General features: G+C 47.0%; 1 protein-coding gene, 1 long non-coding RNA gene and 1 pseudogene across 6 annotated transcripts in view, besides 2 other annotated features; 2 read left to right on the top strand and 1 right to left on the bottom strand.

The window, feature by feature from the left end:
- Positions 1–27,938, top strand: part of RAD51L3-RFFL (RAD51L3-RFFL readthrough) — a 112,411-nt gene that overhangs the window by 1,520 nt on the left and 82,953 nt on the right. Inside the window, exons 2-5 of the long non-coding RNA NR_037714.1 lie at positions 13,522–13,617; positions 16,459–16,549; positions 16,679–16,749; positions 18,638–18,802. This is a non-coding gene — a long non-coding RNA (RAD51L3-RFFL readthrough). The remainder of the gene's footprint in view (positions 1–13,521; positions 13,618–16,458; positions 16,550–16,678; positions 16,750–18,637; positions 18,803–27,938) is intronic.
- Positions 81–280: a silencer, noted in NCBI's record as "silent region_8435". NCBI's record gives its function as "represses an Ori minimal core promoter by ATAC-STARR-seq in GM12878 lymphoblastoid cells {active_cell/tissue: GM12878}" and the evidence as "EXISTENCE:reporter gene assay evidence [ECO:0000049][PMID:35858748]".
- On the top strand, positions 143–27,782 carry RAD51D (RAD51 paralog D). 5 transcript variants are annotated; one of them, NM_002878.4, is made up of 10 exons: positions 143–471; positions 831–892; positions 1,384–1,502; positions 12,556–12,637; positions 12,881–13,015; positions 13,522–13,617; positions 16,459–16,549; positions 16,679–16,749; positions 18,638–18,802; positions 18,967–27,782. In NM_002878.4, the coding sequence occupies exons 1-10, from the start codon at positions 390–392 to the stop codon at positions 19,048–19,050; spliced, it is 987 nt and encodes a 328-aa protein (NP_002869.3). In that variant the 5' UTR covers positions 143–389; the 3' UTR covers positions 19,051–27,782. The 5 variants fall into 5 exon arrangements, 3 of the variants coding, with proteins under 3 accessions (NP_002869.3, NP_001136043.1, NP_598332.1); NM_001142571.2 differs by lacking the exon at positions 1,384–1,502 and adding an exon at positions 2,966–3,144 and having other exon boundaries at positions 245–471; NR_037711.2 differs by lacking the exon at positions 1,384–1,502 and having other exon boundaries at positions 245–471.
- Positions 24,806–25,006: a silencer, noted in NCBI's record as "peak2815 fragment used in MPRA reporter construct". NCBI's record gives its function as "represses an SCP1 promoter by STARR-seq MPRAs in K562 erythroleukemia cells {active_cell/tissue: K562}" and the evidence as "EXISTENCE:reporter gene assay evidence [ECO:0000049][PMID:32103011]".
- Positions 26,030–26,094, bottom strand: RNU6-840P (RNA, U6 small nuclear 840, pseudogene; annotated as a pseudogene).

Raw genomic sequence — 27,938 nt, 5'->3', positions numbered from 1 at the left:
GCGGGTGGCGTGTTGAGCGCGGAGGGGGTCGTGGGACTCGGGAACCTGTGCAGGCGGTGGAGAGGGGCGCAGCGGCTCTGCCCCGTGCGGCCCGCAGATGGCGCTGCAGGCCAGGTCCTCGCCGCGCGCCAGCCTGGAACCCGGAAGCGGCAGCGCGGCGCGACCCGGCGGGCGGGCTCTGGGCGCGGGAATCCCGGCGGATCCCGGGCGGGCGGATGACCCCCAGCCCTACCCTTGGTGCCGCCTCCTCCTCTCTCCTTTCTCCTCCGGCAGCCAGCGCGCCTGTGTCCTCTCTAGGAAGGGGTAGGGGAGGGGCGTCTGGAGAGGACCCCCCGCGAATGCCCACGTGACGTGCAGTCCCCCTGGGGCTGTTCCGGCCTGCGGGGAACATGGGCGTGCTCAGGGTCGGACTGTGCCCTGGCCTTACCGAGGAGATGATCCAGCTTCTCAGGAGCCACAGGATCAAGACAGGTGACCGGGTGTGCGCGTGCCAGGGAGCCGCGCGGGCCTCGCACAACCTGGGCAGGCCCCGAGGGCTGGCGCACTGCCCTGGCATACCTGCAGGGCGCTTCCCCTCCATTCCTAGAGGGCCGCGCTTCTGGAGAGGCTCAGGAAGGGTGGGCGTGGGGAGCCAAGCTCTAAAACAGGGTAGAGATTCCTACTGTGTGCAGGGCACCGCGCCGGCTCCTGCAGCTTTGTTATTTCACACTGGCCTCCTGAGACGGCCTGCCGGGGGGTAGAATTGACACCCCATTTGACAGATGAGGAAAAACCAAGTGTGGGAGGCCCCAGTCCTCTCTGCCAATCCGCTATACGTGTTTTGTTTTCAGTGGTGGACCTGGTTTCTGCAGACCTGGAAGAGGTAGCTCAGAAATGTGGCTTGTCTTACAAGGTGAGCTCCTGATCTCCACATTCCAAACCTGAGTGTCTTTTTAAAAAGTCCATCCCAAGCCAGCTGGGCGCGGTGGCTCATGCCTGTAATCCCAGCACTTTGGGAGGCCGAGGCGGGTGGGTCACTTGGAGTCAGAAGTCAGGAGTTCGAGACCATCCAGGCCAACATGGTGAAACCCTGTCCCTACTAAAAATACAAAAATTAGCTGGGTGTGGTGGCCCACGCCTACAATCCCAGCTACTCGGGAGGCTGAGGAAGGAGAATCATTTGAGCCCGGGAGGCAGAGGTTGCAGTGAGCCGAGATCGTGCTACTGCACTCCAATCTGGGCGACAGAGTGAGACCCTGTCTGAAACAACAACAATAACAAAAGTCCATCCCAAGCCAAAGGGAGCAGAGGGTTCTCAGATATTGAGAAGTAGGGTGAATGACACCCTGGGATGCCAGCTTCTACGGGCAATTTGTTGCTGAGCAGTCTGGGGCCCTTTGGCAGGCCCTGGTTGCCCTGAGGCGGGTGCTGCTGGCTCAGTTCTCGGCTTTCCCCGTGAATGGCGCTGATCTCTACGAGGAACTGAAGACCTCCACTGCCATCCTGTCCACTGGCATTGGCAGGTTTGTGTGTGTACTTGGGGAAGAAGGAGAGAGGCAGGAGGATGGGGCCTCCTCTCAGCTCTGCTTTTGATGCTTGAGTCTAGACGGGAGGGGTTTTTTTTTTAACCAATAATGGATGGGAAGGAAAGGGGTCAGGACATCTGAATTCTTATCCTATAACAGGGTTATGGGGTATCTCAGCCTTGGCACTATTGATATTTAGGGACAGGTAATTATTTGTTGGGGGGTGGAGGCTGTCCTGTGCAGTGTAGGATGTTTAGCAGCATCTCTGGCCTCTGCCCACTAGATGCCAGTAGCACCAGCCCTGCTCCAGTTGTAACCATCAAAAATGTCTCCTGACATGGCTAAATGTCCCCTGGGAGGCACAATTGCCTCTGGTTGAGAAGCATTGTCCTATAACACAAGCTGTCAGTATCTCATTATTTTCACCATCTTCTCTGGCCCTACTTCTTATTTTACTTAAGGATATGGCAAGAGAGAACATTTACTGAGTGCCTACTATGTGCAGGCATTACCTGTATGTTCTAGGTAATCTCTTCAGTGACTCTACCAGTTAGAGATAATTAACCCTACTTGAGTTTAGCCTAAGAGGAGCAAGTGGCAAAGGTGAGGCTCAAGCGCGGGAGTATGTGGCCCAGAACTTATTCACCACATCTGCAGCAGTAGAGAACAGGAGAGTTCAGAGAAAGAAGGAGTTGCGGTCCAGATGCAGTGCTCATACCTGTAATCCCAGCACTTTGGGAGGCTGAGGCGGCAGATCACTGGAGGCCGGGAGTTTGAGACCTGCCTGGCCTGCTTGCCCGCCCAAAATGATGAAACCCCGTCTCTACTAAACATACAAAAATTAGTCGGGCGTGGTGGCGGGCGCCTGTAGTCCCAGCTACTTGGGAGGCTGCAGCAGGAGAATTGCTTGAATGTGGGAGGTGGAGGTTGCAGTAGGCCAAGATCGCACCACTGCACTCCAGCCTTGGTGGCAGAGCGAGACTCTCTCAAAAAAAAGGAGCAGTTATGTCCCGCCACGTTGTTTGGTGGGTTGGGGAAGAGTTGCAAAGACGACAGACGTTTGCTGGCCAAGTGAGTCTTGACCTTTTTCCTGGTCTGTTTGTTCAGAAATTGATGAATAACTGCCACCATAAAGGTCTTTGGATTGGTGTGGCCCTTTCTGTTTCCTTAACACATTCTCTTGGCAGGGTTCATGCAGTGTGGTGCTTGCTTTCCCTGGTTGGGGGTCTGAGTCTGTGATCCATCAAGCACTGGCTAAGGGCCTGCTGGGTGCTTGGTATGTGCAGATGATACATACACGAATGAGGCAAGGCCCCTGCCCTTAAGGCCTCTAGTTGGGTGTAGGGGAAAATCAAGTGAATACAAGAGAGCTGTAAGCACCGAGGGAGGCAACGGTAAGGAGGGAGTGGTGAACAGGAAGCCGATTGGCCTTGGGCTTAGGGAGTTTATAAATCCAACAGACATGGAGGGCGCACTCAAGTGGGAACCTGGGAGGACTGCAGCTGCCTCAGGTCCCCGCAGGGAGATCGTGGAGTGGGGTCAGGAATGCTCTGAAGAAGGCAGGACTTGGGCATGGAGGAACAGATGGACTTTCGCTGAATGCTTTCGATGAACGAGGCACTGCGGTCAGCACTTCACGGTACATTATTTCATTTATTCGTCACAACCACCAATGAGCATGTTACTGTTTAAATCATCATTCTAGGCCGGGCGCAGTGGCTCACGCCTGTGATCACAGCACTTTGGGAGGCTGAGGTGGGCGGATCATGAGGTCAGGAAATCGAGACTGTCCTGGCTAACACGGTAAAACCCCGTCTCTACTAAAAGTACAAAATATTAGCTGGGCGTGGTGGCGGGCGCCTGTAGTCCCAGCTACTCGGAAGGCTGAGGCAGGAGAATAGCATGAACCCGGGAAGCGGAGCTTGCAGTGAGCGGAGATCGCACCACTGCACTCCAGCCTGGGCAACAGGGCAAGACTCCATCTCAAAAAAATAAAATAAAATAAAATAAAATAAAAATAAATCATCATTCTATAGGTGAAGAAATTGGGACTCAGGTTAAATGACTTGTTCAAGATTGTGCAGTTAGCAAACGGCAGACCAGTTATTTGAGTTCATGCTTGTCACACTCCTAAGTCTAAGAACGCGGCTCTTAACTCATCTGCCCGGCTGTCTCCCTGGAGGCGGGAGGCCATTGTGAAAGCAGGGTTATAGACAGTGGGGTAGAGGTGTGCAGGGTGGAAGGGTGGCAGAGGCCAAGCAGGGCCCTGGCAGTGCTGGCCTGGGGTATGTGAGTCCAGTCTAGAACAGTGGGAGACATGTTGAAGAGGAACTGTGACAAGACCTACTACCAGGAGGAATGTATTGTGAAGAATCAAAGCTGACTCACCAGGTTTCTAGCCTTTCTTTCTTTCTTTCTTTTTTTTTTTTGTCGGAGTTTGGAATGTATTGTGAAGAATCAAAGCTGACTCACCAGGTTTCTAGCCTTTCTTTCTTTCTTTCTTTCTTTCTTTCTTTCTTTCTTTCTTTCTTTCTTTCTTTCCTTTCTTCCTTTTCTTTCTTCCTTCCTTCCTTCCTTCCTTCCTTCCTTCCTTCCTTCCTTTCCTTCTTTCCTTCTTTCTTTCTTTTTTTTGACGGAGTTTCACTCTGTTGCCAGGCTGGAGTGCAGTGGCGTGATCTCGGCTCACTGCAACCTCCGCCTCCAGGGTTCAAGTGATTCTCCTGACTCAGCCTCCCGAGTAGCTGGGACTACAGGTGCGTGCCATCAACGCCCAGCTAATTTTTTGTATTTTTAGTAGAGATGGACTTTCGCCATGTTGGCCAGGATGGTCTCGATCTTCTGACCTCGTGATCCGCCCGCCTTGGCCTTCCAAAGTGCTGGGATTACAGGCGTGAGCTACCATGCCCAGTCTCTAGCCTTTCTTACCGTGTGCTGTGGACAGTTAATGGTGTAACTTTAAAACTTGGGAGGAGGGGAGTTCTGTAGTCAGAAGTTTGAGAAATGCCTGACTAATCCAAATTAAACAGGTTTCTCTGTTGTAGGCCGCCTCAGAACCTTTAGTGCTGAGGTGCAATGATTCCTTACAGGGTGTTATAGCATGTAACGTACTTTGGGAAAAGCTATGTTGATGAGGGAGATTGATTATTCCTTATAGGCCAGAGCTAGGTCTGTTCATCCCACAGTCCCCTCATTTTAGAATAAGACTGTCAGGAAATATGAGGCATTGAAGTGGTGTGTGAATGGATGACTGAAAGAATGGCTAAAAGGCAGTTCAGAGGGAAAGGCAGAGGATAAGTCCCAGAAATCACCTGTATTCTAGGCAGTGGTAAAACCCAGGTGTACTTCTGCTTCATGGGGCAAGACAGGGGTCTCTCCCTGTTGACATGCGGAGTTAAAGGTGATGGGGACATATTGGTAGGAAGGTTCTCTGGGCAGTCGGAGAGGCACGGAATGGAAACTCAGGTGAGAAGTTGGCTGGAAGGTGGATTTGGGAATACCTTATACAGACTGATCTCCACAGCCAAGGATGTGGTTGATTCTTGACTAGAGTCAACACCAGTGCTTCAACCCCAGCTGCACGTTAGAATCATCTGGGAAACTTGAGATATTCATGCTCTGGTCCCAACTCTATATATTCTAATTTAATTAGTCTAGGTCAGTGGTTCCCAAACTTGTGTGCCCATTGGAGTCACCTGAGGACTCTTTTAAACATTACGAAGTCCAAGTCTCCCCCAGACCAATTAATCTCATTCACTGTGAGTGGGACACAGGCATCAGTATTTTTTAATTTTTTAATTTGTTTTTTAGAGACAGGGTCTTGCTCTGTTGCCCAGGCAGGAGTGCAGTGGTGCACAATCATAGTTCACTGCAGCCTTGAACTCCTGGACTCAGGCAGTCTCCCTGCCTCAGCCTCCCAAGTAGCTGGGACTACAGGTGCTCACCACCATGCCTGGCTAATTAAAAAAAATTTTTTTTTTTTGTAGAGACAGGGGTCTTGCTGTGTTGCCAAGGCTGGTCTCAAATTCCTGGGCTCAAGCAATCCTACCTCTGTCTCCCAAAGTGTTGAGATGACAGGTATGAGCCACCATGCCTGGCCAGGCATCAGTATTTTTTTGAAGCTCCCAGGTGAATCCAATGTGCAGACAACTTTGGGTACTGCTGACATAGGCATTTTTTAAAAAACTCCCCTGATTTTATTTTATTTAATTAATTAATTTTATTTTTTTGAGACGGAATCTTGCTCTGTCGCCCAGGCTGGGGTGCAGTGGCGCGATCTCGGCTCACTGCAAGCTCCACCTCCCGGGTTCATGCCATTCTCCTGCTTCAGCCTCCCAAGTAGCTGGGACTACAGGCGCCCGCCACCACGCCCAGCTAATTTTTTGTATTTTTAGTAGAGACGGAGTTTCACCGTGTTAGCCGGGATGGTCTCGATCTCCTGACCTCGTGATCCACCCGCCTCGGCCTCCCAAAGTGCTAGGATTACAGGCGAGAGCCACTGCGTCCAGCCAACTCCCCTGATTTTAATGTGCAGGCAGGATTGAGACTAACTACTCTAGTCTAATGGTTCTGAAACTTGAGCAGGCTTCAAAATCACTTGGAGGCCTTGTTGAAACTCAAGTTTCAAGTGTGGGCTGCATTCCCAGAGTTTCTGATTCAGTAGGTCTTGGGGAGCGGAGCTGTGAATTTGCATTTCTAGCTAGTCCTTAAAGGTTGCTGATGCACCTGGTCTGGGGACCACACTGGGGTTCCTCTGATCTCAATGGGAAGAATGGAATCAGGAGTGGTAGAGGCTGGATACTTATTAAACAGAGATGGGGTGAGCACAATTATCTCAAGAAGCCACAGGGCTAGAGTGGTAACCAGAGTGTTTTGACTGGCAGGAACCTGTGGGTATAATCATGGGGAGTCCCTGGAATTAAAATGGTTGGGGGCCAGGCACGGTGGCTCATGCCTATAATCCCAGCACTTTGGGAGGCCAAGGCGAGTGGGTCACCTGAGGTCAGGAGTTTGAGACCAGCCTGGCCAACATGGCGAAACCCCATCTCTACTAAAAATACAAAAATTAGCCAGGCGTGGTGGTGGGTGCCTATAATCCCAGCTACTCGGGAGGCTGAGGCAGGAGAATTGTTTGAACCCGAGAGGCGGAGGTTGCAGTGAGCCGAGAGCACACCACTGCACTCCAGCCTGGTGACAGAGCGAGACTCCGTCTCAAAAAGAAAAAAAAAATGGATGGGATGCTTACTAAAGTGCTGTTCGGCATATACAGAGAGGTCATGGGAGGTCATCAAGAACCATCTCAAGGACTGGAACCTAGGAAGGTGATTGTAGGGCTAGGAAAGGTACGCATGTGATCAGGCATTGGTACAGGCCGTGGCATAGAAGAAACTTCAGCCTAGAGATAGGGCAGGGCATGGAGGGTAGGTGGTGACCTGTTTCATGTGGTTGAGGGAGAGAACCTGGTTTAGGAATTGGCATGTCATGAGGTTTATCCCAAGTCTTTCACAGCCAGTGTTGATGATACAGAAGCGAAATAAAAGTGATAGCACCTTTCTGTTACTCATTTTTCTGGAATGATTATTGGGTGCCTCCTGTGTTTCAGGCACTGTGCTAGTGCTGGGGATGCGACAGGGATCGGACCCAGTCCTTGCCCCATGGTGCTCTCAGCTAGATGAGCAAGACAAACAAAAACAAGCAAATAACAAATAATTACAAACTCCTAGGACTAGTGAGGATACAAGACCAACACATACAAATCAACTGCATTTCTCTATACTCACAGTGAACATGTCAAAACTAAAATAAAAAACACTACCATTTATTGGCCGGCCGCAGTGGCTCATGCCTGTAATCCCAGCACTTTGGAAGGTCGAGGCAAGTGGATCACCTGAGGTCAGGAGTTCGAGACCAGCCTGGCCAATATGATGAAACCTGGTCTTTACTAGAAATACAAAAATTAGCTGGGCGTGGTGGTGGGTGGTTGTAATCCCAGCCACTTGGGAGGCTGAGACGGGAGAATCACTTGAATCTGGGAGATGCAGGTTACAGTGAGCGGATATTGTGCCACTGCACTTCAACCTGGGTGACAGAGTGAAACTGTCTCAAAAAAACAAAACAAACAAAATGGCTGGGCGTGGTGGTTCACGCCTGTAATCCCAGCACTTTGGGAGGCTGAGGTGGGCAGATCACAAGGTCAGGAGATCGAGACCATCCTGGCTAACACAGAGAAACCCCATCTCTACTGAAAATACAAAAATTAGCTGGGCGTGGCAGTGTGTGCCTGTAGTCCCAGCTGCTGGGGAGGCTGAGGCACGAGAATGACGTGAACCTGGGAGGCAGAGCTTGCAGTGAGCCAAGATTGCGCCACTGCACTCCAGCCTGGGCGACAGAGCGAGACTCCGTCTCAAAAAAACAAGCAAATAAACAAACAAACAAAAACACAATGCCATTTATAGTTGTTTCAGAGAAATGAAATACTTGGGTATAAGTCTAACAAAGCATGTGTAGAATCTGTATGCTGAAAATTTTTAAATTGTTGATGAAAGAGATCAAAGATGACTCGGATAAATGGATGACATGTACTTTGTTCATGGATTGGGAGACTGAACATAATGAAGATTTCAATTGTCCCCAAGTTGATCTGTAATTTAACGCAGTTCCTATTAAAATCCCAGCAAGTTTTTTTTTTCTATAGACATAGACAAGCTTATTCTAATAATTACGGGAAGACCAGTTTTACCTAGATTAGCTAAAACAATTTGGAAAAAGGATAGCTGGAGGAATCAGTCTACCCAGGGTTAAGACTTGCTATATAGCTACATAATTAAGCCTAGTGTGGTATTGACCAAGGGACAGATGGACACAGATCAGTGGAACAGAATAGATAACCCAGAAATAGACCTCCACAAGTATACACAACTAATTTTTTTTTTTTTGAGACAGAGTCTTGCTCTGTCACCCAGGATGGAGGGTACTGCTGCTATTACAGCTCACTGCAGCCTTGACCTCCCTGGGCTCAGGCAATCCTTCCACCCCAAGCCTCCCGAGTAGCTGGGACTACAGGTGTGGGACACCATGCCTGGTTATTTGTATTTGTATTTTTTTTTTTTTAGACGGAGTTTCTCTCTCTCTCTTTTTTTTTTTTTTGAGATGGAGTTTCGCTCTTGTTGCCTGACCTGGAGTGCAATGGCGTGATCTCGGCTCACCGCAACCTCCGCCTCCCGGGTTCAAGCGATTCTCCTACAGGCACATGCCACCAGGCCTGGCTAACTTTTTTGTATTTTTAGTAGAGACGGGGTTTCTCCATGTTGGTCAGGCTGGTCTCGAACTCCTGACCTCAGGTGATCCACCCGCCTCGGACTCCCAAAGTGCTGGGATTACAGGTGTGAGTCAACGCGCCTGGCCTGAGTTTCTCTCTTTTTGCCCAGACTGGAGTGCAATGGCGTGATCTCGGCTCACTGCAACCCCCGCCTCCCGGGTTTGATTCACCTGCCTCGACCTCACGGGTAGCTGGGATTACAGGTGCATGCCACCATGCCCAGCTAATCTTGTATTTTTAATAGAGATGGGGTTTCACCATGTTGGCCAGGCTGGTCTTGAACTCCTGACCTCAGGTGATCGCCCGCCTCGGCCTCCCAAAGTGCTGGGATCACTGGCGTGAGCCACCGCGCCCAGCCTGTTTGTATTTTTTTTATAGAGACAGGGTTTCATTATGTTGCCCAGGCTGGCCTCAAACTCCTGGGCTCAAGCAATGCTCCCGCCTCAGCCTCCCAAAATGCTGGGATTACACACAATTGATTTTTGACAAGGGTACAGAAACAATGTGTTGGAGGAAAGACAGCCTTTGAACAAAGGGCGCTGGAGCTATTGGACATCATAGGCTAAAAATATACAATAATCAACCTAAACCTTATACCTTATACAAAAATTGAAAATGGATCATAGACTTAAATGTAAAACCAAATTGTCTAATTTTTAGAACAAAACAGGAGAAAATCTAGGCAAAGAGTTCTTAGATTTGATGCCAAAAGTATGATCCATGAAAAAATTTTTGATTAATGGGGCCTAATCAAAATTTAAAACTTTTGCTGTGCAAAACAGAATGAAAAGAGAAGTACAGAATGGGAAACATAGTTACAAGCCATGTATTCAACAAAGGACTTGTATCTAGAATGAAGAAAGAATTCTTAAAACCCAACAATAAAAAATCAAACAATTCAATTAGAAAATGGGCAAGGGCTGGCTCACACCTGTAATCCCAGCACTTTGAGAGGCTGAGGTGGTCAGATTGCTTGAGCCCAGGAGTTCAAAACTGGCCTGGGCAACGTGGCAAAAACCCTGTCTCTACCAAAAAAATACAAAAATTAGCTGGGTGTGGTGGCACATGCCTGTAGTCCCAGCTACTTGGGGGAGCTGATGTGGGAGGATCACCTCAGCCTGGGAGGTCAAGATTGCAGTGAGCTGTGACCATGCCACTGAATTCTAGCCTGGGTGACACAGTGAGACGTGAGACCCTATCTCAAAAAAAAAAAAAAAGCCAGGCGTGGTGGCTTACGCCTGTAATCCCAGCACTTCGGGAGGCCAAGGCAGGTTGATCACCTGAGGTCGGGAGTTTGAGATCAGCCTGACCAACATGAAGAAACCTCGTCTCTACTAAAAATACAAAATTAGCCAGGCGTGGTGGTGCATGCCTGTAATCCTAGCTACTCGGGAGGCTGAGGCAGGAGAATTGCTTGAACCTGAGAGGTGGAGGTTGTGGTGAGCCGAGATCACGCCATTGCACTCCATCCTGGGCAACAAGAGTGAAACTCCGTTTCAAAAAAAAAAAAAGTTCAACACTATTAACTATTAGGGAAATGCAAATTAAAAACACAGTGAGCTATTATTTCATACCTATCAGAAAGACTAAAATAAAAAAATAATGATAATACCAAATGCTGATGAAGATGTGGAGACACTGGACTACTCATATATACATTGTTAGCGGATATGTAAAATGGCATAGCCACTCTGGAAAATAGTTTGGTAGTTTCTTATAAAATTAATAATGCATTTACCATACCACCCAGCAATTGTATTCTTGGGCATTTATCCCAACGTTGTAAAAACTTGGGTTTATACAAAAACCTGTAAAAAATGCTTATAGCAGTTTTATTTATAGTAGCCCCAAAGTGGAAACAACCAAATGCCCTTCAATGGATGAATGGTTAAATAAACTGTGGTACATCCATACCATGGAATACTTTTTAGCAGTAAAAAGGAATGAACTATCCATATATGCAATAACTGGGATGGATCTCAAGGGAATGATGCTGAGTAAAAAAGCCAATCGCAGGGCCAGGCACGGTGGCTCATGTCTGTAATCCCCGCACTTTGGGAGGCTGTGTTGGGCGGATCACTTGAGGTCAGGAGTTCCAGACCAGTCTGCCCAAAATGGCAAAACCCCGTCTCTACTAAAAATACAAAAATTATCCAGGTGTGGTGGTGGGCGCCTGTAATCCCAGGTACTCGGGAGGCTGAGACAGGAGAACTGCTTGAACCTGGGAGGTGGAGGTTGCAATGAGCTGAGATTGCACCACTGCACTCCAGCCTGGGCGACAGAGCGAGACTCCGTCTCAAAAAAAAAAAAAAAAGAAAAGAAAAAAAGCCAATCACAAAGGTTACACAGTGTATAATTCTATGTACATAACTTTGTTCTTGAAATAACATAATAGAGATTAGTGGTTGCCAGGGATTCGGGATTAGGGGTGAATGGGAGGAATGTGGCTATAAAAGGGTAGCAGGAGGAAGACTTATAGTGATGGAAATGTTCTGTATCTTGATTATAGTAGTCGTGTAAATCTACATATGTGATAAAATGGCATAGGACTAGACACATCAACACACGTGCTTGAATGCTAGGAACACTGGTGAAATCTGAATAAGCTCTGTGGATAGTACCAACATCAGTTTGCTACTTGTGTGATATACTATAGTCCTTTTTTTTTTTTTTTTTTTTTTTTTTAAAGAGAAAAGGGTCTTGCTATGTTGCCTGGGCTAGACTTGAACTCCTGGACTCAAGTGATCCTCCCACCTTAGCCTCCCAAGTAACTGAGACTACAGGCCCCTGGCTAGTACAATACATTTTGTAGTACAGTTGTTATTATTAAGGTAAACCAGGTGAAGGGTTCATGGACTTTTTGCAACTTCCTGGGAATCTATAATTATCTCAAAGTTGTTTTTTCTTGTTGTTGTTGTTGTTGTTTGTTTTGTTTTTTTGAGACAGAGTCTTGCTCTGTCACCAGGCTGGAGTGCAGTGGCGTGATCTCGGCTCACTGTAACCTCCACCTCCTGGGTTCAAGCGATTCTCCTGCCTCAGCCTCCTGAGTAGCTAGGACTACAGGCGTGTGCCACCATCAAAGTTTAAAAAAAGCGACAAATTTTGGGAAACGCTATCAAGGAAACCCACAAACAGCTGGGCGTGGTGACTCACGCCTATAATTGCAGCACTCTGGGAGGCCGAGGTGGGTGGATCGCTTGAGGTCAGGAGTTTGAGACCAGGCTGGCCAACATGGTGAAACCCCGTCTCTAATTAAAAAAACTAGTCGGGTATGGTGGCGGGCACCTGTAGTCCCAGCTACTCGGGAGGCTGAGGCAGGAAAATCACTTGAGCCTGGGAGGTGGAGGTTGCAGTGAGTAGAGATCACGCCACTGCACTCCAGCACTCCGGCCTGGACAACAAAGAGAGACTCCGTCTCAAAAAAAAAAAAAAAAAAAAAAAAAAAGGAAACCCACAGGGCCTGAGATGAAAAATGAAGGGAGAACCTTCTGATGGGGTGGCAGAGGCCTCTCTGGAGAGCTGATCTTTAAGAGTGGAGGGATGAAGAGAGACCAGAGAAGGCACATTTGGGCATTCCCTCCTTACCAGAAGAAAACACCAGGAGAAGCCTCCTGGCCAGTGATGTTCAAAGACAGAACCAGTGCTTGAAAGAAATGTCTTACTTTTCTTCTTGGTACCTTTTCCCCTGTCTTCCTCCTAACCTCTTGTGTTGATTTTCTTCTCTTCTGCCATCAGTCTTGATAAACTGCTTGATGCTGGTCTCTATACTGGAGAAGTGACTGAAATTGTAGGAGGCCCAGGTAGCGGCAAAACTCAGGTACATGTGAGGCCAGCAGTCAGGAGGATTTAGGGGTGAGGGTGGTAGATGCATAGCCCAGGGTCCCTGGGGGAGCTTCAGCGTACTAATGGGTTCAGAGCCCAACAGAGAGAAGATGGGTAATAAGGAATGGGGTCGGGACTCAGCCCATTTGTGTTGCTGGAATCTGGGCAAGGTTTGGTGGGGAGCTCCCATCTGGACCCTCTCTGAAGTGTCAAGTTCATCCAATGCCCCCACCCCCAGGTATGTCTCTGTATGGCAGCAAATGTGGCCCATGGCCTGCAGCAAAACGTCCTATATGTAGATTCCAATGGAGGGCTGACAGCTTCCCGCCTCCTCCAGCTGCTTCAGGCTAAAACCCAGGATGAGGAGGAACAGGTAAGGGCAGGATGCTGGGTTCCATTGAGATTCTGACACAGGAAAACCCCATTATCCCTTAACATTGTAAGAATTTGGGTTGAATAGTCATTCCTTGCCTTCAAACTTGCTGTTCTATTAATACATCTCGTATTCCTTAAGCCACCCCTGTTGATGCCATCATCCCATTTGGGATGCTACTCACACTGATTCTTCCAGGAAACCCTCCCAACTCTTTGCATGCCCTAAACCAGGGCTGGCAAACACCAAGCTTTGTGTTTCCAGTCCATTTCTCACCTGTGAGAGACATCACTAATCAGTCATATCCCTCTTTCCTGCTGAGTTCTGAGTACTTTACAGCTCAGCACCCAGGCAGCCACCACTGTGACAACTGACCATTAGACAAAGCTCATTTGCCACCCTGGACCTGAGTCCTTGCATCCAGGTGCCTCTTCCTTCTCAGCCTTACCTTGACCCCCCTACTCCCTCTTATCCAAAGTCCTTGCTTTTCTTTTCCACCGCTTCAGGCAGAAGCTCTCCGGAGGATCCAGGTGGTGCATGCATTTGACATCTTCCAGATGCTGGATGTGCTGCAGGAGCTCCGAGGCACTGTGGCCCAGCAGGTGAGCCTGCTGTTCTGCCCCTCCTTGCTTAATTCAGCTTTCTAGGTGCTATCTCTGTGGGCAGGTGTCCTACTACAGACTGTTTGGAAATGCAGATGTGCAATCTGGTGACTCCAACTATGCTTGCTACTCCCAGGATGGAATTCCCGAGCACCTAAATCACATACCTCATTGTTTACATGTTCATCTTCCCTGCTGAACAGTAAAGCCCCCTGAGTGGAAGGATCATGTCATATTTATGTCTGCATTCCCCACTAGGTGAGTGAGGAATACTTTTAGCTGCAAGTAATAGAGGTTGTCTGACAGAGACTTGAAGCTTGAGGACATTTAATTATGTCACATGAGTTGGGAGGTTGGCAGGTCCATGCTATCAGGGCAATAGATTTGTGTGTCTGATTTTCTTGTTCTTCCCCTCATGGTTGCAAAGAGGCTGCCAAAGCTCCAAGCATCTTGTCTTCACACATCCACATCCATATTCAAGGCAGTAAAAGATAGATGGTTCTTTTCTGTACCTCCTCCCTTTTATCAGGGATGAAGAATCTTTCTCCAGAGCCCACTAATAGACGTCCCTCTTCCCCTTACATCTAGTTGGCCAAAATGGGGTTATGTGTGTATCTTGGACTAAGACCTGGGCCCACCATCCCTGAAGTCAGATTTCTGCCCAGTCGCTGAACACATTCAGAGTCATGTTAATGGGAAGGATTTAGAATGGCATTTGGGTTGGCACTTTGCTACTCATGTTGGGTGCTTAGACAGGATTTGGTGCACTGATTTATAAATGACTAGATGTGGAGGATACCTTAAAGATAGAATAGTTTATCTCAAACTTTTCCTCTCACCCCAAAGCATGACGTGTTCACACGGGCATCCCCACGACTATATATAAAGTCAATGATTTTTACAAACTTTAGAACATATAATAGTTGAACAAGCTGGGAGTGGTGGCCCACACCTGTAATCCTAATGACTCCAGAGGCTGAGACGGGAGGATTGCTTGAGCCTAGCAGTTGGAGGTTGCAGTGAGCTATGATCATACCACTGTACCTTAGCCTGGTCAGCAGAGCTAGACCCCGTCTTTAAAAAAAAATGTTGAACAAATACTTACCTCAGAAGTCATAGCTGGTTATGACCCACCAGCTTGTTGAGACATGAAGCTGAGTAGTGCTTACCTCACTTTTAGAGATGAGAAGAGTGAAGGCCGGAGAAGTGAAGTGAGTTGACCAAAGTTGACCAAATATTTAGGGCAAGAACTAACCTTATAGCCCAAACCTCTCAATTCCAGATCAGAAGACTGTATTTTTTACTGTAGGACCATTAGATGATATATCTTCTATTATTGCATAATAAGTTACCAAAACCTTAGTGGCTTAAGACATAGTATTTCTTATCTCACAGTTTCTAGGGGTTAAGAATCTGAGACTAGGAGCGGTGGCTCACGCCTAAAATCCCAATGCTTTGGAAGGCCAAGGCAGGAGGATCACTTGAGCCCAGGAGTTCAGGACCAGCCTGGGCAGCATAGCAAGACCCTGTCTTAAAAAAAAAAAAAAGAAAAAGAAAGAAGAAAAGAAAAAGAACCAGAATCAGGATATAAGAAGTAAGGGAGAAGAGAAAAGAAGCATCAAAAACAGTTTAAGTCCAGGGAAACCAGGAGGATTCTCCTGCTTGTGTAAAGACAGAAAATTATGGTTAGAAAGATGGCACAGGCTAGGCTTGGTGGCTCATGCCTGTAATCCTGGCATTTTGGGAGGCCAAAGTGGCCAGATCACTTGAGGCCGGATTTCGAGACCAGCCTGGCCAACACGGTAAAACCCCGTCTCTGCTAAAAATACAAAAATTAGCACCCGTAGTGTGCACCCAATGTGTGCACCCATAGTCACAGCTACTTAGGAAGCTGAGGCATGAGAATCGTTTGAACCGAGGAGGCAGAGGTTGCAGTTAGCTGAGATCATGCCACTGCACTCCAGCCTGGGTGACAGAGCAAGACTTAGGGAATTTATTTGGAGGCATTTTAGATACGGAAGATGAGGCCTAGAGGCATGATCTAGAAGGAGACAGTGAAGTAAAGAGAAGGCTAAACTCTTCAGCAAAGGAAGTTAGGAATTTGAGGGTGGTAGTTAGCAGGACAAGGGAAAGAAAGGAGGGAGTCAGAAAAGGAAAAGAAGGGCCTTACCACCATGGTGGGAGGCTGGACACAGGAGAGAGATGGCTGCTGAGAGATCCATGACCAGAGGCCTCAGGACTCTCTGCGGAGCTTTCTGAAATTTGATGACTTTAATGTAGTTTTTAGTTATTTTATTTTATTTTTTTTGAGACAGAGTCTTGCTCTGTCGCCCAGGCTGGAATGCAGCGGTGTGATCTCAGTTCACTGCAACCCCCGCCTCCCAGTTTCAAGCGATTCTCCTGCCTCAGCCTCCTGAGTAGCTGGGATTACAGGTGTGCACCACCACGCCCAGCTAATTTTTGTATGTTTAGTGGAGACGGGGTTTCACCATGTTGGCCAGGCTGGTCTCGAACTCCTGACCTCAAGTGATCCACCGCCTTGGCCTCCCAAAGTGCTGGGATTACAGGCGTGAGCCACTGCGCCCAGCCACTTTAGTGTAGTTTTGATGTCCTGTGATTTAAACCCTTTCTTTCTACCCAAGTCTTCATTGAAGTCTGTTACACATGCCAATGGGACGAGGGAGACATTGCTGCTGATGACATTCTGTGATGCCCGTGCAGCTTGCTGTATTTGGGATGGGGGGGCTATTTCTTACTAGTTTTAGATAGAAAAGCAAGCTTGTCCTGTAATGTGTCCTAGAGGCTGACAGGTTCATGAGTGCTTCCCCCACATTCCTTCAGGTGACTGGTTCTTCAGGAACTGTGAAGGTGGTGGTTGTGGACTCGGTCACTGCGGTGGTTTCCCCACTTCTGGGAGGTCAGCAGAGGGAAGGTGAGTGATGTGGCAGAGCCTGGGGCCAGTGGAATGTGACCTCGCCTCCCAGCTCTGGAGTCTGGTCTCTGGCCAGCCCCATCCCTGGTTCCCCACTGCCCTCCCTCTCTGCTTCTCCTCCTCCTGCAGGCTTGGCCTTGATGATGCAGCTGGCCCGAGAGCTGAAGACCCTGGCCCGGGACCTTGGCATGGCAGTGGTGGTGAGGAAGCAGGCTTGGCCAATGAACTTGATTTCTAGTTATTGCGAGCTCTTTATTTCCCTTAAATGTCAGCTTCTGAACCCCAAAGTGGCCCTTTAGGAAAGGGACATATCCCAGCTTCCCTGGGTCAGCTACAGCTTTGCACCATAAATAGCTAAGGGAATCAGGAATCGTCTTGTTGTTTTTTTGTTGTTTTGTTTTGTTTCTACATTTTTTCTTTTTAGTCAGGTTTATTGAGGTATAATTTACATAGAGTAACTTTCTCCTTGTTTGAAGTTTGACTAATGGATATAGTTGTATCCAGTCTTGTGACCCCACCAAAAGGTCCCCCAGGCCCAGGCAACCACTGATCTGTTTTCCATCCCAATAGTTTGGCCTTTTCCAGAGCTTCATATAAATGGATCTTTTTGCTATTGAAGTAACTTTTTCTGCTTATGAGGTAGTTTTTTTAAAGTCTGCATGCTTCTCATAGAAAGGATAGAAAATAAATATGATTCAAATTTGTCATCAATCTCCACATCCACAGAAACCATATTAATATTTTTACATATCTCCATACAATACTTTTTCTGCATATTTACTTATACTTTTAGCCAACTTTCTTTCTTTCTTTTTTTTTTCTTTTGAGATAGGGTTTCGCTCTGTTTCCCAGGCTGGAGTGCAGGGGCACAATCACAGCTCACTGCAGCTCGACCTTCCAGGCTCAAGCAATCCACCCGCCTCAGCCTCCCAAAGTGTTGGTATTACAGGTGTGAGCCCACACTTAACCAGCTTTCTAACTAAACTAACCTCATGAAAAAATAAAAAAAAATAGGCCAGGTGCGCTGGTTTATGCGTGTAATCCCAGCACTTTGAGAAGCCAAGGCTGGTGGATCACTTGAGCCCAGGAGTTCGAGACTAGCCTGGGCAACATGGCAAAACCCCACCTCTACAAAAAATACAAAAACTAGGTGGCCTTGGTGGCAGGAGAATTGCTTGAGCCTGGGAGATCGAGGCTGCAGTGAGCTGTGATCATGCCACTGCACTCCAGCCTGGGCAACAGAGCAAAACCTCATCTCAAAAACAAACAAACCAAAACAACAACATAAAAAATACCATCTGAGTCCATTTCCTATGTTTTAAAATAGATTTTTTAGAAATGTAATTTTTAGCAGCTATATATTTTTTCCAGTTTCTTTTATTGTGGTAAAATACATGTAACATAAAATTTACTATCTTAACCACTTTAAGGTATACAGTTCGGTGGTGTTAAATACATTCATAACGCTGTACAACCATCACCACCATCCATCTCTATAACTCTTCACCTTGTAAAACTGAAACTCTGTACCCATTAAAAATAACTCATTTTCCCCTTCCCCAGCCCCTGACAACCACCATTCTACTTTCTGTATCTATGCTTTTTGACTACTCTAGGAACCTCATATACATGGAATCATATGGTATTTACTTTTTGTGACTGGAGTATTTCACTTAGCATAATGTCCAGAAGGTTCATCCACCTTGTAGCATGTGTCAGACTTTCCTTCCTTTTAAAGGCTGAGTGTCTGGGCGTGGTGGCCCACACTTGTAATCCCAGCACTTTGGGAGGCTGAGGCTGGCGGACTGCATGAGCTCAAGAGTTTGAGACCAGCCTGGAAAGCATGGTGACATGTGCCCCATCGCCTTCTGGTTCGGGTCAAACCTGAGGCATCGAGATTTAGTGGAAAGAGCGGGGCACAAGTCAGGAGGCCCAGGTTCTAGTTCCAGACCTGCCATTAGGTTTTGTAACCTTGGGGAAGTTATTTCTCTGTGCTAGGCCTCTGTTTTCCTCTCCGTAAAATGAAGCGGTAGTAATCGATGTCCTCTATACTAGCATTATGGATCTGTAAGTCTGTTTCTGCTGCAGGTGACCAACCACATAACTCGAGACAGGGACAGCGGGAGGCTCAAACCTGCCCTCGGACGCTCCTGGAGCTTTGTGCCCAGCACTCGGATTCTCCTGGACACCATCGAGGGAGCAGGAGCATCAGGCGGCCGGCGCATGGCGTGTCTGGCCAAATCTTCCCGACAGGTGAGCCAGCCCCAGGAAGATGCCAGTAATCTTGGGCCCTGGAGGGTGGTTTCCATACCCACAGATGTCTTCGAGAAGAACTCTTTAGAGGCTGAAACCTTGCAACTAAAGAAGCTACCCACTTGGGTTGCTTAACTCCACTGACTCCTTACTTCTTCTTCCAGCCAACAGGTTTCCAGGAGATGGTAGACATTGGGACCTGGGGGACCTCAGAGCAGAGTGCCACATTACAGGGTGATCAGACATGACCTGTGCTGTTGTTTGGGAAACAGGGAAGCATTGGGGACCCCTCCCAACTTTTCTTCCCAGTAACGCCTGCTGTTTACTGCCACCTGGCACTGGTGACTACAGACGTTCTCAGGCTGGCCAGAAGAGACATCTTGGGTTCCTTGGCCTCACTCTCTGTAAGCATATAAACCACAGGCGAAAGAGGATGCTGCATTGCGAGGACCCAGAAATTCATACTGGTGCCACGTTTCCTTCCCTTATTTCTAACGTGTATGTTTCTGGTGGAAACCAAGTTCACCCTGGCTGGGAGCATCTCTGATGAGGCATGCTGGCGACTGGATGGATAATCCTGTGCATCACCATTGTGTCCTGTGCTCCCTCCTAGCGCAGTGGCCAAGCCGGGAAAGCCTCTAACTTGCCTTTGCTGCTGCTGCCTTTTTTTTCTTTTGTCTCTGCCTTTCCATTTGTTAGATGGGGGCCCACTCTTCCTTAGCTCTGTCTCTGAGTTACTGGGTGGAAATAAGCTTATAAATGAAATACTCTTCTTCATCTCTGTTTTGCTCTTAAAAATATAAAAAGGCAATTCCCCGAGCCCTAGAGCCACCTGATTTCCCCTTAGAAGGCTGTTTTTCAGTTTCCCCCAGTGAGGCCCAAAGAACAGTTTATTCCTCCTTTCCTCTTGCTGATTTGGTTTCAGACCTGCCTGCATCACCATGACTAGGTGAGAACGTGTGGGCTCGCTGCAGTTCCAGGGATATAATTTAACAGAAAGGGAGGGTATGACCTGCTCCTGGTGAATCCAGCCACTCATTTAATATGCATGGTGCCCTGTGGGGCCCCTCCACAGTACAGCATAACCAGAGGTGCTGAACCATGGCCTTGCCCATAAACAGACAGAGGAGAATTTGCACAGTAAATAGAGCCAGCTGGGAAAATTGATGCTGACGTAAATAATACATGGCAAATCTAGTCCTTTATGCAGAAATTCATTGCTGGTGGCTCCAAGATGCAATATAATTACACCTCTCTTCCTGCCAGCTGTACCACAGCTAGTGCCCTAGTGTATGAAATAATCCCTCTGTCTTTCACCAGCACTGTGGCCATCCGTCTGAGAGCCATGACCCTGGCTGGGAGGGGACGAAGACACCAGGGAATGGAAAATAAAAGGAAAAGTACAGAAATGATCAGGATTGGTTACTGGCCACATCTTTTAAAGGAAGGTCATCTTTCTTGGTTAGAGAGCCTGTTGTGTAATTAATCAGTTATGTCTTGGCTGCAGGAAAGGAGGGTCCGAGTTACACTCAGAAAGTAATGACATTTAGAGGTGATGAATGCAACAGGGATAGAATCATGGAGGATTGGGAAGGAGTGGCAAACTGGCACCAGGGTGTTGGATTCAGGACAGGGTTGGTAAGCCTAAGCCTGGGGGAATCCTAGCGCTTGCTTTCACAGAAGACCTCAGGAGAAATTAATCTTCAGTATCTTTATACCATGGGTGATTGGCACATTCCTGCAACCACAGTAAGATGCAATACATGAAGCTGGAAATTGCAAATTCTTGCCACTCAAGGTACTATTTGGGCATCTTCAGCCCACAGCAGACATGACCAATCGGGCACAAGCACTCTTTTTTGTGGAAGTCAAAGTGTTTTTAGAAGTTTTTCTCAATATAGCACTCCAGGGGGCCACTACCAGTCAGTTGGAGTTGGTATTCAAGGTGGAGTCTGGTTGCCGTCTCTGCCCTGTTCCCATTATGTAGTGAGTTCAGGTACTTAATACCTAACTGAGGACCCTAGGACTGCAGTTTGAGATCATCTGGGGCCAGGCACAGTGGCTCACACCTATAATGGTAGCACTTTGGGAGCCTGAGGCGGGAGGATCACTTGAGCCCAGGAGTTTAACAGTTTAAAATCAGCCTGGGCAACATGATGAGACATCGTTTCTACAAAAAAATTTTTTAAATTAGCTAGGCATTGTGATGTGCACCTGTGGTCCCTGCTACTTGGGAGCCTGAGGCAGGAGAATCGCTTGAACCTTGGAGGTTGTGGCTGCAGTGAGCCCTGATCGCACCACTACACCCCAGCCTGGGTAACAGAGCAAGACCCTGTCTCAAGGAAAAAAAAAATCATCTGGCCCATCCTGTTACTTAACAGAGAAGGTACCTGAGGCTCAAAAAGGATGACTGACAGTCCTAGTGGCAGAATGGAGGTGGGATCTGGAACCCACAACTTGATTCCTAGGACTCTTTTTTTTTTAATTCCCACATTGGCTGGGTGTGGTGGCTCACGCCTGTAATCCCAGCACTTTGGGAGGCTGAGGTGGGTGGATCACCTAAGGTCAGGAGTTCCAGACCAGCCTGACCAACATGGTGAAACCCCGTCTGTACTAAAAATACAAAAATTAGCCAGGCATGGTGGCCCATTTCCTGTAATCCCAGCTACTCAGGAGGCTGAGGCAGAATCGCTTGAACCTGGGAGGCGGAGGTTGCAGGGAGCTGAGATGGCGCCACTGCACTCCAGCCTGAGCGACAGAGTGAGACTCCGTCTCAAAAAAAAAAAAAAAATGCAAAAATTAGCCAGGCGTCGTGGCGCATGTCTGTAATCCCAGCTCCTCGAGAGGCTGAGTGGGGAGGATCACTTGAGCCCAGGAGGCAGAGGTTGCAATGACCTGCGATCATGCCACTGCACTCCAGCCTGGGCAACAGAGACTCTGTTTCAAAAAGAAAAAAAAAATCCCCACATTTTATTTAATTTTCAGTCCATACAGTTCTATTCCTGCTAGGGCTGTAACTCCAGCTGAAGGCACCACAGCTGTCACCCAAGGAGTTTCTGTGGCCATGGGAAGGTGTTGCATTCACTGCTACTTGAGACCACCACGTGACATTCCTGCAGGCTGTGCCCCTCACAGCCAGCTTCATCCTTTGGCTCCTCCTAGACCAGGACTTTGTCTTGCCTGCCTGCTGCCACTGCACTCTGTTCCGGCCACACCACACTGTGCAGTCCCCTGGTAGGACTTGGGCTAGGCTGGCTCTCCTGTCCAAGTGCCTTTTGCTCCCTTTGCTTATGTGTCTGTCTCTGCCCAGCTCCCACTGTGTCTGGTGCACACCCACCCTGACATCCTTTTTTATGCCTCAGCTGTGATCTAGATAGATGCTTACAGTAACTTCCCTGTATTAGTTATTCACTTGTACTTTCTGTTCACGTGTCTGCCTACAGGCTCCCACTTTTTGTCACTTTTTCTCTTTATACATTATGGAAGCTCAGTAATGATTAAATAGATGAATGATGTTTTAAAAATATATTTTAAAAAAGCAAAGGACTGGCTCTATCTCAGGGGTTCCTTCCATAAAGCGTCAACTTTCAATTTCCCCTGCGGGGGTGGTTTGAGACCTGAGGGCACTCTCTAGTTCTTAGGAAAAAAATATACATATACATATACATATATATATATATATACACACACACACACACACATATACACACATATATATACATATATATACACACATATATATATATACACACATATATATACACACATATATATACACATATGAGCCAGGCGCAGTGGCTCACGCCTGTAATCCCAGCACTTTGGGAGGCCAAAGTGGGCGGATCACAAGGTCAGGAGTTCAAGACCAGCCTGGCCTATATAGTGAAACCCTGTCTCTACTAAAAATACAAAAATTAGCTGGGTGTGATGGCTCGCATCTGTAATCCCAGCTACTTGGGAGGCTGAGGCATGAGAATCGCTTGAACCTGGGAGATGGAGGTTGCAGTGAGCCGAGATTGTGCCACTGTACTCTAGCCTGGGCAACAGAGTGAGACTCCATCTAAAAAATATATATATATGTTCACACCCACATCATTGAGTCCCCAGAGTGTCTTCTTACATATCTTTTTACAGGGGACTATTGTATGCCCTTCGTCTGACATCAGATGAAATTAATGTTGAGATCCTACTATGTGCTAGCACTTGATGGCCTTAATTAAAAATCAGGCATTTGAATTCCCAAGGACTCAGGCAAAGGTCCATGTATCATTAAGGCTGCAAGTAACAAAACCTAGGCTTAAAGAAGTGTAAATACTAGGGACACTTATTTATATTTATTTCTTTTATGTTTCAAGACAGAGTCTTGCTCTGGAGTGCAGTGGCACAATCACGGCTCACTGTACCCTCTACCTCCCAAGCTCAAGTGATCCTCCCACTTCAGTCTCCCAAGTAGCTGGGACTACAGGTGTGTGCCACCACACCCATCTAAGTTTTGTATTTTTTGTAGAGACGGGGTCTCTGTACGTTGCCCAGGCTGGTCTTGAACTCCTGGGCTCAGGTGATCTACCCGCCTTGACCTCCCAAAGTGCTAGGGATTACAGTCATGAGCCACCATGCCTGGCAGGGACACTTATTATCTCTGATAACAGGAAGTCTGAGGTTTGTTAATTTAGTGGCTCATTGTCAAATGGCGTAGAGCCTTTGCATCCTTCTGCTCTGTTCTTTTATGTTGGTTTTGTCTTCAAGCTTGTTCCCCTTATGAAAGCCTGGCTGCAGCCATTTTGAGCATCAATCCAGACGTGACAATATCTACAGGCAGGAGAAGGATCGCCTCCTGTGTGTCCTTTAAAGAACAAGGTGTTAACATGCCAGGAACTGTGGCTCCTGACTGTAATCCCAGTAATTTGGGAAGCCAAAGTAGGAGGATCGCCTGAGGCCAGGAGTTCCAGACCAGCCTGGGCAACATAGCAAGACCCTATCTCTATAAAATAAAATAATAAAAATTAAGAAAACAAGGTGTTAAAAGACAAAATTAAAGCAAATATAGTTTTGCAGATTGTAATTGACTTTTATTTGCAATTCTAGAATTGGGCTGCCCTCAGAACCAGGACAGGTTCAGAGAATTCCAGAGCTGCAACATAGTCTGAAAGCATTTATGGTCAGAAAACAGAAATGAGATACAAAGACAACTAATTGGTTACAGCTCTGCCTTTGCCTTATTTGAAAATGGTTTGAATAGTTGGCTGCCTGGAACCCACTGAAGCTGATGATGTGATTGGCTGAGCCTCAGCAATCTGTTACAAAAGTATACTCCTAAATTAGGTTTTCAGTTAGTTTGCATACTAAGGCTGCAGTTTGTTAAGGGCCCAAGTAAAGCCTCCTCAGGTCAATTTTTTTTTTCTTTTTGAGATGGAGTCTTGCTCTTGCTCAGGCTGGAGTGCAGTGGCGTGATCTCAGCTCACTGCACCTCTGCCTCCCGGGTTCAAGTGATTCTCCTGCCTCAGCCTCCTGAGTAGCTGGGACTACGACTACAGGCGCCTGCCACTATGTCCGGCTAATTTTTTGTATTTTTAGTAGAGATGGGGTTTCATCATGTTGGCCATGGCTGGTCTCGAACTCCTGACCTCAGATGATCTGCCTGCCTCAGCCTCCCAAAGAACTGGGATTATAGGCATGACCCACTGTGACTAGCCCTCAGGCCAAATTTAGCTTTTGTTTGTTTGTTTGAGACGGAGTCTCTGTCACCTAGGCTGGAGTGCAGTGGCATGATCTTGGCTCACTGCAACCTCTGCTTCCTGGGTTCAAGCAATTCTGCCGCAGCCTCCCGAGTAGCTGGGATTACAAGCATGCGCCCCCATCCCCGGCTCTTTTTGTATTTTTAGTAGAGATGGGGTTTCACCATGTTGGCCAGACTGGTCTCAAACTCCTGACCTCAGGTGATTCACCTGCCTCTGCCTCCCAAAGTGCCTGGATTACAGGCGTGAGACACCACACCCGACCCCAAATTTAATTTAACAAAGGACTAACTCAGAACTAACTTCCAACCAAAGCTGACTCACCTCAAATCTCATTGGTGCAGAATTGCTTCATACACCCATGTGTAATACAGTAACTGGCAAGAAAAAGGGACTGCTGTGATTGACTCAAACCAACTAGGAAATAGCCCTGGAGCTGAGGCTGGGGACAGGCTTTCCTGAAGCACATGCTGGAGCCACTGAAAGAAAAATGGGAGTTCTCCTTTCTACTAGAAAGGAGAGTGTGTGGATGAACTGGATGCTGGGTGGGCAGCCTCTCACTAGTACTTACGGTAGTACCAAAGACGAGTTAATCAAGGCTCTATTATGTATCCTTAGGCCCTTGATGCATGTCTCATTATGACCTTAGGACAGCCTTGTGGCAGAGGGAATGATTCCATTTAATAGACAGTAAATGGGATCTCAGTGAGGTTAAGGACATAAAGCTAATAAGTGGCAGCACGGGAATCCAGACACATGTCTGCCTGATACCAAACCCATTTTTTCCCATCTGCACGCTGCCTTCTGCTGTAAATATGTAAATGTTTCCACAAAATTCTTTTTCATACTTTGCCCTGATAGCAGCAGGGGCTGCACATCCCAACCTCTTTTCAGCTTAGCTCACCATAAAAAGCGGGATCAGAGATCTACTTCTCAGCTCTTTCTGATTTCCCCCAGGGAAGTTACAAAAGAATGACAAAAACTTGGAGAAGGCAGATATCATTAGTATTAAAGAGAACTGGAGGTTTAGGGGGAAATAAAGCTGAATAAAAAACAGCAGGGCTGGCTGAGCGTGGTGGCTCACGCCTGTCATCTCAGCGCTCTGGGAGGCTGAGGTGGGTGGATCATTTGAAATCAGAAGTTCGAGACCAGCTTGGCCAACATGGCGAAACCCCATTTCTACTAAAAATACAAAAATTAGCCGGGCGTGGTGGCGGGTGCCTGTAGTTCCAGCTACTCAGAAGGCTGAGGCAGGAGAATCGCTTGAACCCGGGTGGTGGAAGTTGCAGTGAGCCAAGATCACACTACTGCACTCCAGTCTGGGTGACGGAACAAGACTCCATCTCAAAAAAACAAAACAAAACAGGGCCTATGCATCCCTGAGATGTGAAGCAGGGGGAGATAAGGGATTTAGATGTATATCCTACTAGGTTTTTGCTGTGTTCTGCCATGCAGTTGTCTGGGCAGGATTTATTTATATTTTAATTTATTTCAGGGGCCATGCTAATCATCTTTGTATTGTTCCAATTTTAGTGTATGTGCTGCTGAAGCAAGCACTGGGTAAGGTTTAAACTGTCTAGTTCTGTGTGCTGGGGTTTGGCATTGGAGAAGGCTCTGTGATGCATAGACCTTAAATTAGAGTTAGGTATATTATTAATCCAAAGTGATCCTGAATGCTTTCTATCATTTTTTTCTTGTCCTATTGCACTGGCTAAACTGACTTTTAGTACTACACAGAATAGAAGCAACAATAACAATCATCCTTGTCTTGTTCCTAACTTTAGTGGACTATTTACAATATTTTACTGAGTTAGATGCCTTAGGTTCCACGTAGCTGCTCTTTATGAAAGACCTCACTGGGTTACCCTTCAGTCTTGGAGGAGTCTGGGTATTGGCCATGACATTTGCCATGAATGATGGAGTTCTCTCTGCCAGGTCCTCATGCCCTGGAGCTGTACGGCTGCACTTCAGCTGCTGCACATTTGACTTTTTGAGTAGCCCTTGAATCTCTGCTCTTCCTTGGCCTCTCTATAGTTTTTGGTATAATAGCCTCAGCTTAAGTTTGAGTTTTGTAGGAAAACAATGGGCCTGTGCTGACAAAGATACAAAGTCAAGGAACAGGATTTTTTATATCTCAACTAACTTGGTCCTAGCTTTGACATTTACTTGCCATATAACAATGGATGAATAACAGTCTCTTTAAGCCTTAGTTTCATCCACCGTGAAATGGGAAAAATAATATCTGTTTCATAGAGTTGTTTTAGGATCATGTAACTTATGTAAAACACTGAATAGTTTTCCAGGCATGATATAGGCACTCAATCTCATATTATGAATAAGCTTATGATGCATGGGGGATACTGATGACAGCTTTCTTCTGTCCAGGCAGGCCCAGCTACATGGTGGTATGACCAGTGCAGTCACACAGCCCCATGCTTAGCAGGGCTCTGCACTTAGTTTAATGCTCTGCTGTTGCCATCTTGAAGTTCTTAATTTTTAAACAAGCATCCCATATTTTGCACTGTTTCTTGCAAACAGTGTAGCCAGTTCTGTCTCCAGGAATGGATCCAGCACTAGTACTGGCCCTTCTCTTTGGGAAACATCCTTCCATTGATTTCTTAGGGAGTAAATCCCTTGAAGAGTAACCTCCCATAGAAAAATTAGGGTTAGCACCCTGTGTATGTTTATCTCTAACTGTTCCATTCTCAGTAACCTACACATCCTCTCTCATTAAAAAAACAAAACAAAACAAAAAACACTTTATATTTTACAGAAGCTATTAGATCCAGAGAGGTTGGTAGGGGTGCTGGTGAAATGGAATGGTGATTTGGGATTTTGGAATCAGGAAAAAGATCTAAGTTCAAAACCCTGCTAGTCCCTTTCTGGCCGAGTTACTTGGACAAGGTAATGTCTCTGTCCTACTGGTAAAGTGTATGTTGCAGGGGAATTACATTCTTTGTTGGTAAAATATATGCCTCAGGGGAATTAAACAGATAATTTATGTAAAGTGCCTTTCACAGAGAGTCTGGCACATAGTAGGTGGTCGGTCACTATTAATTCTTCCAGCTCTTGCCAGAAATAACTAAAATCAGGGCACTAGGACTTCCAAGCCGTGCTGCTACTAATAAAAGAAATAATATGATTTATTTTTTCACAACTGTTTGGGGAAAGGCCTGTGCTTCATAAATATGCGTTGGAAAGTACTTAGCAAATGAGTAGAAATAATAAAAATATGTCCAAGTAAACAGCTCCTATAAATATGTCACTTGGTAGACAAATTAGTGTTTTATCACTACTAAATACTATTGCTCGCTGAAAAGGATTTCGGATTGCTTGCACAATGGGTACATTATTGAATGCCTCTGTGGAAGGGCATGATAAAGATGAAAAATAGTGACGGT

The sequence above is a fragment of the Homo sapiens genome, chromosome 17 (assembly GCF_000001405.40).
Source record: "Homo sapiens chromosome 17, GRCh38.p14 Primary Assembly".
NCBI lineage: Eukaryota > Metazoa > Chordata > Mammalia > Primates > Hominidae > Homo > Homo sapiens.
The sequence above is the reverse complement of the archived record's forward strand: the minus strand, read 5'-3'. Positions and strand labels throughout refer to the sequence as shown.

Bases quoted from the DNA above. Each gene is read 5' to 3' on its own strand.
- RAD51D (NM_001142571.2), top strand. From the start codon at position 390: ATGGGCGTGCTCAGGGTCGGACTGTGCCCTGGCCTTACCGAGGAGATG. The intron at 16,750-18,637 runs GTGAGGAAGCAG...TTTCTGCTGCAG, and splicing joins ACCTTGGCATGGCAGTGGTG to GTGACCAACCACATAACTCG. The intron at 18,803-18,966 runs GTGAGCCAGCCC...TTCTTCTTCCAG, and splicing joins TGGCCAAATCTTCCCGACAG to CCAACAGGTTTCCAGGAGAT.